The sequence below is a fragment of the Homo sapiens genome, chromosome 7, assembly GCF_000001405.40.
Source record: "Homo sapiens chromosome 7, GRCh38.p14 Primary Assembly".
Classification (NCBI taxonomy): Eukaryota; Metazoa; Chordata; class Mammalia; order Primates; family Hominidae; genus Homo; species Homo sapiens.
The window spans coordinates 6,320,943-6,329,410 of NC_000007.14; the positions used below are offsets into that span (position 1 = coordinate 6,320,943).

Sequence of the window (8,468 nt, forward strand, 5' to 3'; positions counted from 1 at the left end):
TTTTCAGGACTGTTCTGAAGATGAGATAATATTACACCCAGCAGCTTCACCACCTGTTCACACCTAGAGGTGGGAGCTCAATGAATAGCTGCTATTAGCTGTTAAGATCATCAGTTGCCTGACTGCAGATGAAATATTCTTAGGAATTATGCCACTATTGTCAGTTTATCTCTTAATAACATATATTAGAAGAATAGTGAATATGGGAGAGAACTATGTGCATAAAGATATGAGCTTTTATAACAGAAAGATATGATTTTATAATATACTTATACCTGGCCAGACGCAGTGGCTCATGCCTGTAATCCCAGCTCTTTGGGAGGCCGAGGCCGGAGGATCACCTGAGGTCAGCAGTTCAAGACCAGTCTGTTCCAACATGGTGAAACCCCCATCTCTACTAAAAATACAAAAATTAGCCAGGCACGGTGGCTCACGCCTGTTATCCCAGCACTTTGTGAGGCCGAGGCAGGCAGATCACGAGGTCAAGAGATCGAGACCATCCTGCACATGGTGAATCCCCGTCTCTACTAAAAATAACAAAAAATTAGCTGGGTGCGGTGGTGGGCGCCTGTAATCCCAGCCACTCGGGAGGCTTAGGCAGGAGAAAGGCGTGAACCTGGGAGGCGGAGGTTGTGGTGAGCCGGATCTCGCCACTGCACCCCAGCCTGGGCAACAGAGCGAGACTCCATCTCAAAAAAATTAAATAAATAAAAGAAAAGAAAGAGCAATCATTTATTGATGTTATAGAATAATACAATAGCAGTTCTCAATCTTTTTTAGTAGATTCCAACATTTTAAGCATGTTTCACTACAAGCCACAAAAGAAATTTAAAGTTGTGATTTCTATAGTAAAAAATTGACTTTTTTTTTTTCTTGAGATAGGGTCTCGCTCTCCCTTGCAGGATGGAGGGCAGTGGCATGATCACGGCTCATTGCAGCCTCAGCCTCCCAGGTTCAAGCAATCCTCTCACCTTGGCCTCCCAAGGTGTTGGGATTACCAGCATGAGCCACCATGCTCAGCCATAATGGACTTGTTCTGTGTCACAGATTTCCCTGTAAGGGCATCTAAGAGGCTCTCATGCAAAGGAACAGGCTGAGGAGGAACGCACTGTGGGCCCGCAAATCAGCACAGGTCCTCCCTGCCCCTGCCCCATCCACCTGAAAGGGCCCAGAAAAGCTCCCAACATTGGGAGCCTGTGAACATCCTTGGCAGAAGTGAAAATTCTGACCAGCCCACTCTGAAGAAAACTACTGCTCTTTTAAATTTTTATCTTATTTTATATCATTTTATTTATTTTTTTGGTAGACATGGGGTCTCACTGTGTTGCCCAGGCTGATCTGGAATGCCTGGCCTCAAGTAGTCCTCCCACCTTGTCCTCCCAAAGTGTTGGGATTACAGGCGTGAGCCACCACACCTGGCCCTAAAACTACTGTTCGTGTTGGTGCAGTGTGAAAATGTGGTTTCTTACTGAAAGCCATGCACCAAAATAAAAAATAAACACAAAAATACATTTTACTTTTCTATCACATTTATCTTCTTTCTTTAAGCACCACCTATGGGTATTGAATTAAAGAGCTGCAGCTGGGCCGGGTGCAGTGGCTCATGCCTGAAATCCCAGCACTTTGGGAGGCCGAGTCAGGCGGATCACTTGAGGTCAAGAGTTCGAGACCAGCCTGGCCAACATGGTGAAACCCCATCTCTACTAAAAATTAGCCAGGCGTGGTGGTGGGCACCTGTAATCCCAGCTACTCGGGAGGCTGAGGCAGGAGAATTTTGCTTGAACCTGGGAGGCAGAGGTTGCAGTGAGCCGAGATCGTGCCATTGCACTTCAGCCTGGGCAACAAGAGTGAAGCTCCGTCTCAAAATAAATTAAGTGAACAAATAAATAAAGAGCTGCAGCTGGGTTGGGTACAGTTGTTCACACTTGTAATCCCAGCACTTTGGGATGCCAAGGTGGAAGGATTGCTTGAGCCTGTTATTTGGGGACCAGTCTGGACAACATAGTGAGAACTTATCTCTACAAAAAAATTTTAAATTTAAAAAAGGAAATAGTTACGATCTTGTTGTAAGGTTTGATACATTACACACACTTGCGTTAACAACCCATACTAAACTAAGTCTGACGTTTTTATGTTAATTTTTGCTTAAGAATTTGGCTAAACAAAATAACCATAAAAACATCCCAAAACAGCACACTCCCTAGGTGAACACATGGCTCCCTCTTGTGGTCAACGCGAACCTCACGGGCACAGCCCCGGGGCTTTCTTCCCAACCTCATCCACTCCTCCCAAATTATTATGCAGCCACATAAATTACCATGAGATTCACAAAACAGTCTATCCGGCATCAGCGTTCCATCCAGTGCAGCCTGCTTCAGTCTTTCACCTTCAGAGGGAGGTGAGACTTTCGCATTCTAGCTTAAAATTTGCCCAGAATAAAGGTCACTTAAACTAAGTGATTACTTGGCATCCTCCAATGACACATGACCTCATCTGCCAACTTAAACACAATATATATAAATATATATGCCCGTATCACTTCAAAAATAAGCATTATTAGGCCGGGCACAGTGGCTCACACCTGTAATCCCAGCACTTTGGGAGGCCGAGGCGGGCGGATCACTTGATGTCAGGAGTTCAAGACCAACCTGGCCAACATGGTGAAACCCCATCTCTATTAAAAATATGAAAAAATTAGCCAGGTGTGGTGGCACATGCCTGTCATCCCAGCTACTCAGGAGGCTGAGGCAGGAGAATCTCTTGAACCCAGGAGGCAGAGGTTGCAGTGAGCTGAGATTATGCCACTGCACTCCAGCTTGGGCGACAAGAGTGAAACTCTGTCTCATAAATAAATAAATGAATAAGTTAGTTAATTATAATTAAGAGATGGGGGTCTCCCTATGTTCCTCTGGCTGGTCTGGAACTCCTAGCCTCAAGTGATCCTCCTGCCTCAGCCTCCCAAAATGCTGGGACTACAGGCATGGGCCACCCTCCCCAGCCAGGAGAAGCTGATTTTAATGGAAATTCCAAATGCTTAAACATTTTTAAATTCACGTATTTGCCAAACCTTGCTTTTACACCGTGCAGTAGGAAACCATGAACATTTGTTTAACAATGAATCTGCCTGTGACTTAACCTACTCCTCCCACTTTCCCAAAGGCATCACAACACAAAGCTAAAAAGCACTGTTCTCCTACGGCCGCATTCTCAATTTCCAGATGAATTAAGACACGGAACAAAGCACCTGCATTTAAAATCAACCAAACTCCCCTCTTTTCTCAGCTCACCCTCACATAATAGGTTTTCCTGAACAAGCATGAGTCATAAGTCTTGGAATATGGGAGTGTGAAAAGAAATACTGCTTTCTGGCTGGGTGTGGTGGCTGACACCTGTAATCCCAGCACTTTGGGAGGCTGAGGCAGGCAGATTGCTTGAGCTCAGGAGTTGGAGACCAGACTGGGCAACACAGTGAGACCCCGTTCCTACAAAAAATTAAAAAATTACCCGGGTGTGGCAGTGTATATCTGTAGTACCAGCTACTCAGGAGGCTGAGGTAGGGGGATCACTTGAACCCAGGAGGTGGAGGCTGCAGTGAGCTATGATTGCACCACTGCACTCCAACCTGGGCAATGGAGCAAGACCCTTTCTGAAAAACAGAAACAGGGCCGGGTGCGGTGACTTGTGCCTGAAATCCCAGCACTTTGGGAGGCTGAGGCGAGCAGATCACGAGGTCAGGAATTCAAGACCAGCCTGACCAACATGGTGAAAACCTGTCTCTACTAAAAATACAAAAATTAGCTGTGCACGGTGGCGGGCGCCTGTAATCCCAGATACTCAGGAGGCTGAGGCAGGAAAATCACTTGAACCCAGGATGCAGGGGTTGCAGTGAGCTGGGATTGTGCCATGCACTCCAGCCTGGGCGACAGAGCGAGACTCTGCCTCAGAAAAACAACAACAACAACAAAAACAGAGCCTACTTAGTAATCTTCCAATTACTGATCTTTTTTTTCTTAGAGCATAATCAGAACTCTTTGTGGGGTTTTTGGGGGTGTTTTTGACATAGGATCTCTTCCTGTCACCCAGGCAGGAGTGTAGTGGGGGCAATCACAGTTCACCGCGGCCTCAATCTCCCAGGCCCAAGTGATCCTTCCTCAGTCTCCTGAGTAGCTGGAACTACAGATGCGCGCCACCACATCCAGCTAATTTTTTGTATTTTTGTAGAGATGGTCTTGCTATGTTGCCCAGGCTGGCCTAGAACTCCTGAGCTCAAGTAATCCACCTGCCTCTGCCTCCCAAAGTGCTGGGATTCCAGGTGTGAGCCAGTTATGCACCACCCAGAATCAGAACTCTTAGGAGGCAAACAAGGAAAAACAAAACAGGTTGAATCCACTGCCTTAAAAACAACTAAAAGCAAGCCAGGCAGAGTGGCACTCATGCCTGTAATCCCAGCACTTTAGGAGGCTGAGGCAGCAGGAACCCGGGCAACATATCAAGACCCCCATCTCGATATAAAAATAGTATATATATATACATCCGAGTGAGGTGGCTCACACCTCTAATCCCAGCACTTTGGGTGGCCAAGGCAGATGGATCACTTGATGTCAGGAATTCAAGACCAGCCTGGTTAATATGGCGAAACCCCGTCTCTACTAAAAATACAAAAATTAACTGGGCATGGTGGGGCGCCTGTAATCCCAGCTACTCAAGAGGCTGAGGCACGAGAATTCCTTGAACCCGAGAGGCGGAGGTTGCGGTGAGCCGAGATTGTGCCACTGCACTCCAGCCTGGGTGACAGAGCGAGACCCTGTCTAAAATAAAATAAACAAAACAAAATGCAATAAAAATAAGAAAGCATCACACTCAAGGACTTCTCAGACACAACAGGCCACCTGGAACATGCCCCCCCAACTCAACCAAAACACTTTGTTAAAAGTCTTGATATACCTTGATAAAGCAAGACTACTGATTGCAGAAAAAAAATTATCCTACGAAGTTTACCATTCCTAAGCAAGCACCTTTGAAAATCTATTCCAAATGTTTCTCATACAGACTACAGCTCTCAATGAATGGTTTGTAGGGCTTAAAGGGCAAATGAAAGTAGTCAGATTTTTTTTTTTTTTTTTTTTGAGACAGAGTCTTGCTCTATTGCCCAGGCTAGAGTGCAATGGCACGATCTCGGCTCACTGCAACCTCCGCCTTCTGAGTTCAAGCGATTCTCCTGCCTCAGCCTCCTGAGTGGCTGGAATTACAAGCGTGCACCACCACACCTGGCTAATTTTGCATTTTTAGTAGAGACGGGGTTTCACTGGTCTCAAACTCCTGACTTCAGGTGATCCACCCACCTCGGCCTCCCAAAGTGCTGGGGTTACAGGCATGCACCACTGCGCCCAGCCGTCAGATGTTTTTTTAAATTTATCTGATTAATGATGGTTTTTAATTTTTTATTATTTTTTATTTTCCTGAGACTGAGTCTCTGTCACCCAGGCTGGAGTGCAGTGGTGTGATCATAGTTCACTGCAGCCTCAAGCTCCTGGGCTCAAGCGATCCTCCTGCCTCAGCTGTCTGTGTAGCTGGGATGATTGGCATGCGCCACCATGCCCAGCTAATTTTTTAATTTTTTGTAGAAATGGGGTTCTTGCTATGTTGTCCAGGCTGGTCTCCAACTCCTGGACTCAAGCAATCCTCCTGCCTAGGCCTCCCAAAGTCCTGGGATTACAGGCATGAGCCACCAAGCCCAGCCATCAAGTTTCAATAAACATAAAATGTTTGGAGAAAAGAGAGAGAACATGCTGGAAACAAAGGAGAGCCAAGTAGGAGCAGCCATTAAACTCATTTAATAAGAATCAAATCTTAGGCTTCTCCTTTTGAGTTTTTATGTTGAATATATTATCCACTGAACAGGGTGTGTTTCAAAACTTCTACCACTCACTGGCAGTTTCCATCTCTGAGTTCATACATACTGTTCAGGTAAATGTATTAAAATTTTTTTCAGCCAGGCACGGTGGCTAACGCCTGTAATCCCAGCATTTTGGGAGCCCGAGGTGGGCGGATCATGAGGTCAAGAGATCAAGACCATCCTGGCCAACATGGTGAAACCCCGTCTCTACTAAAAATACAAAAATTAGCTGGGAGTGATGGCATACGCCTGTAATCCCAGCTACTTGGGAGGCTGAGGCAGGATAATTGCTTGAACCCAAAAGGCAGAGGCTGCGGTGAGCCAAGATCACGCCACGTGTGCACTCCAGCCTGGGCAACAGAGCAAGAAGATTCCGTCTCAAAAAAAAAAAAAAAGAAAAGAAAGAAAAAAATGCATGTAAAGTGCAGGATTTGTTTTGTTTTGTTTTTGAGACAGAGTTTTGCTCTTGTTGCCCAGGCTGGAGAGCAATGGCACAATCTCGGCTCACTGCAACCTTTGCCTCCCGGGTTCGAGTGATTCTCTTGCCTCAGCCTCCCAAGTAGCTGGGATTATAGGCATCCACCACCACGCCCCGGCTAATTTTTGTATTTTTATTACAGACAGGGTGTCGCCACGTTGGTCAGGCTTGTCTCAAACTCCCGACCTCAGATGATCCACCCACCTCAGCCTCCCAAAGTGCTGGGACTACAGGCGTGAGCCACAACCCCCGGCATGCACACCATATTTTAATGTCACAATATGAAAGCATGTCAGCCTGGGCGTGGTGGCTCATGCCTGTAATCTTAGCACTTTGGGAGCTGAGGCAGGAGGATTGCTTGAGGCCAGGAGTCAAGACCAGCCTAAGCAACATAGTGAGACCTTGTCTCTACAAAAAAAAAAAAAAAAAAAAAAAAAAAAAAAAACTGTAAAAATTTATTAATATATCACTGGATGCTTAATAGGGAATTCTGTACTTTTTGCAATTGGTTGAACATTTGTATACTTGCAACCTACAAAACAAAGGAAATAAAACAGTTGGTGGGGCATGGAAAGTTCAACCCCAAAGGAGTAAACTTCGTTTTTTAAAAAAAGGAAGGCCAGGCGCGGTGGCTTATGCCTGTAATCCCAGCACTTTTGGGAGGCCAAGGTGGGCAGATCACCTGAGGTAGAGAGTTCGAGACCAGCCTGGTCAACGTGGAGAAACCCCGTCTCTACTAAAAATACAAAATTAGCCAGGCATGGTGCTGTATGCCTGTAATTCCACCTATTCGGGAGGCTGAGACAGGGGAATCGCTTGAACCCGGGAGGCAGAGGTTGCAGTGAGCCGAGATCGCATCATTGCACTCCAGCCTGGGTAACAAGAGCAAAACTCCATCTCAAAAAAAAAAAAAAAGGCCAGGAGCGGTGGCTCACGCCTGTAATCCCAGCACTTTGGGAGGCTGATGCGGGCAGATCACGAGGTCAGGAGATTGAGACCATCCTGGCTAACACGGTGAAACCCCATCTTTACTAAAAATACAAAAAAAAAAAAAAATAGCCGGGCATGGTGGCGGGTGCCTGTAGTCCCAGCTACTCGAGAGGCTGAGGCAAAACGGCGTGAACCCGGGAGGCCGAGCTTGCAATGAGCGGAGACCGCGCCACTGCACTCCAGCCTGAGCAACAGAGCGAGACTCTGTCTCAAAAAAAAAAAAAAAAAAAAAAGAGAGAAGTAAAAGGAGTGCTTGGCAAGAAAACAGTCTCTATTTTAAAACACTTAAAACTGTCTTCATCTCATTTTGCAATCACAGTGACACCAAAAGGGCATGGCTGTTCAGCAGGGTTTTAAATGCGCCACCAAGGCAGTGTCACTTAGATTAGATGGAGATGGATTGCCTTGTAAGGACTTTTTCTTTGGGACTCTGAGCACCAACCGAAAGGATCACAAGGCAGGACTTCATTGTTTCTTGGGAGCAGAGAGTTGAGTTCAGGTCTAGCCTTATATTGTTTTTCAAGCTCTGCTTCTCATCTTGTGCATCGGCAACCTACCTCGATGTTTAAAAAAAAAAAAGGCTGGGCGCGGTGGCTCACGCCTGTAATCCTACCACTTTGGGAGGCCGAGGCAGGCGGATCACCTGAGGTCAAGAGTTCGAGACCAGCCTGACCAACATGGAGAAACCCCGTCTCTACTAAAAATACAAAATTAGCCGGGCGTGGAGGCGCATGCCTGTAATCCCAGTTACTCGGGAGGCTGAGGCAGGAGAATTACTTGAACCCCGGAGGTGGAGGTTGCAGTGAGCTGAGATCAGGCCATTCCACTCCAGCCTGGGCAACAAGAGTGAAACCCCGTCTCAAAAAAAAAAAAAAAAAAAAAAAAAATTAGCTGTCCACAGTGGCATGCAACTGTTGTCCTGGCAACTTAGGAGGCTGAGGTGGGAGGATTGCTAGAGCCCAGGAGTTCAAGTTTATAGTAAGCTATGATCACTCCACTGCACTCCAGCCTGAGCGACAGAGCAAGACCCTGTCTCAAATAATAAAAACTATCAGGACGACGACGGCATTAATAAAAACACAAGAAGAACCAAGACCACACATA

The 8,468-nt window shown here is 46.3% G+C and overlaps 1 annotated feature.

Moving 5' to 3' along the window:
• Positions 2,309–2,809: an enhancer, noted in NCBI's record as "H3K27ac hESC enhancer chr7:6362882-6363382 (GRCh37/hg19 assembly coordinates)". NCBI's record gives its function as "activates a minimal SCP1, AML or CMV promoter by ChIP-STARR-seq in primed H9 embryonic stem cells {active_cell/tissue: H9 hESC(primed)}" and the evidence as "EXISTENCE:reporter gene assay evidence [ECO:0000049][PMID:30033119]".